The sequence below is a fragment of the Homo sapiens genome, chromosome 9 (assembly GCF_000001405.40).
Source record: "Homo sapiens chromosome 9, GRCh38.p14 Primary Assembly".
Lineage (NCBI taxonomy): Eukaryota > Metazoa > Chordata > Mammalia > Primates > Hominidae > Homo > Homo sapiens.
Window position 1 is genome coordinate 78,143,854 of NC_000009.12, and position 1,148 is coordinate 78,145,001.

The 1,148-nt window shown below is 41.6% G+C and overlaps 1 annotated feature.

The window, feature by feature from the left end:
- Positions 892–941: an enhancer, noted in NCBI's record as "active region_28485". NCBI's record gives its function as "activates an Ori minimal core promoter by ATAC-STARR-seq in GM12878 lymphoblastoid cells {active_cell/tissue: GM12878}" and the evidence as "EXISTENCE:reporter gene assay evidence [ECO:0000049][PMID:35858748]".

Consider the following 1,148-nt stretch of genomic DNA (forward strand, 5'->3'; position numbering starts at 1 on the left):
TAAAAGGGTGAGTTTGTTTCTCACAATCTGTCACCATTTATCTTCTTCCTCAATTAAGTAGGTTAATCTTTACTTTATCTCCTTTTGGCCCAAAACCTAGCTAAAAAACAAAGCAAAACAAACAAAATCTCAAATCTCCCCAAATCCTTTTCAGTAATATAATATAACCTCTGTTTTATTTGACTTCATCAGCCCTTTATTTTTCCAGTTGGGGTAAAAATAAATAATATATTTGCTATTCAGGGGATTTCTGAGGCTGTGCTTTTACAAACAAATTCTCACATGTATCTTACTCCTGAAATTCTGATGGGCTGCCCCAGTACTTCCTGTAATACACTTTCACTGCCATCCCCTGAAGCCTGTAGATTCTTCTTGGTAATGAGAAGTGCTCTATTCTCATCACCGTGCTATTGATTTTGCAGGTTGTAAGAGCCAGGAGAGGCTAGGTGATATGGTTTGGCTATGTCCCCACCCAAATCTCATCTTGAATTGTAATCCCCAGATGTCTAGGGAGGGACCTGGTGGGAGGTGATTGGATCATGGGGACGGTTTCCTCCATGCTGTTCTCATGGTAGTGAGCAAGTTCTCATGAGACCTGGTTGTTTGATAAGTGTCTGGCATTTCCCCTGCACTCACTCTCCTCCTGCCGCCTTGTGAAGAAGGTACTTGCTTCTCCTTTGCCTTCTGCCATGACTTTAAGTTTTCTGAGGCCTCCCCAGCCATGAGGAACTGTGAGTCAATTAAACCTCTTTTACTTGTACATTACCCAGTCTCAGGTGGTATCTTTATAGCAGTGTGAAAATGGACTAATACACTAGGTTATGCTTCAGTAACAAATAATCCCCCAAATTGCAATGCCTGGTAACAAAGATTTATTTCTCACTACATTTCATGATTATTACAAATTGTTGCAGCTCTGCTCATATTCCTTTCACCCTGGGACACAGGCTGATGGACAGGCCTCTATCTAGAACATTACCAGTCTTGTGGTTGAGAAAAGGGAGAAATAGCAAACCACACACCAAGTCTAAAAGTGACTCTCTGGAAATGACACATGCCACTTCTGCTTACACTTCACTGGCCAGAGCAAATCTCATGGATTGGCCTCGAATCAATGGTGCAGAAAAACATTGTCCTCTCTAGGATGT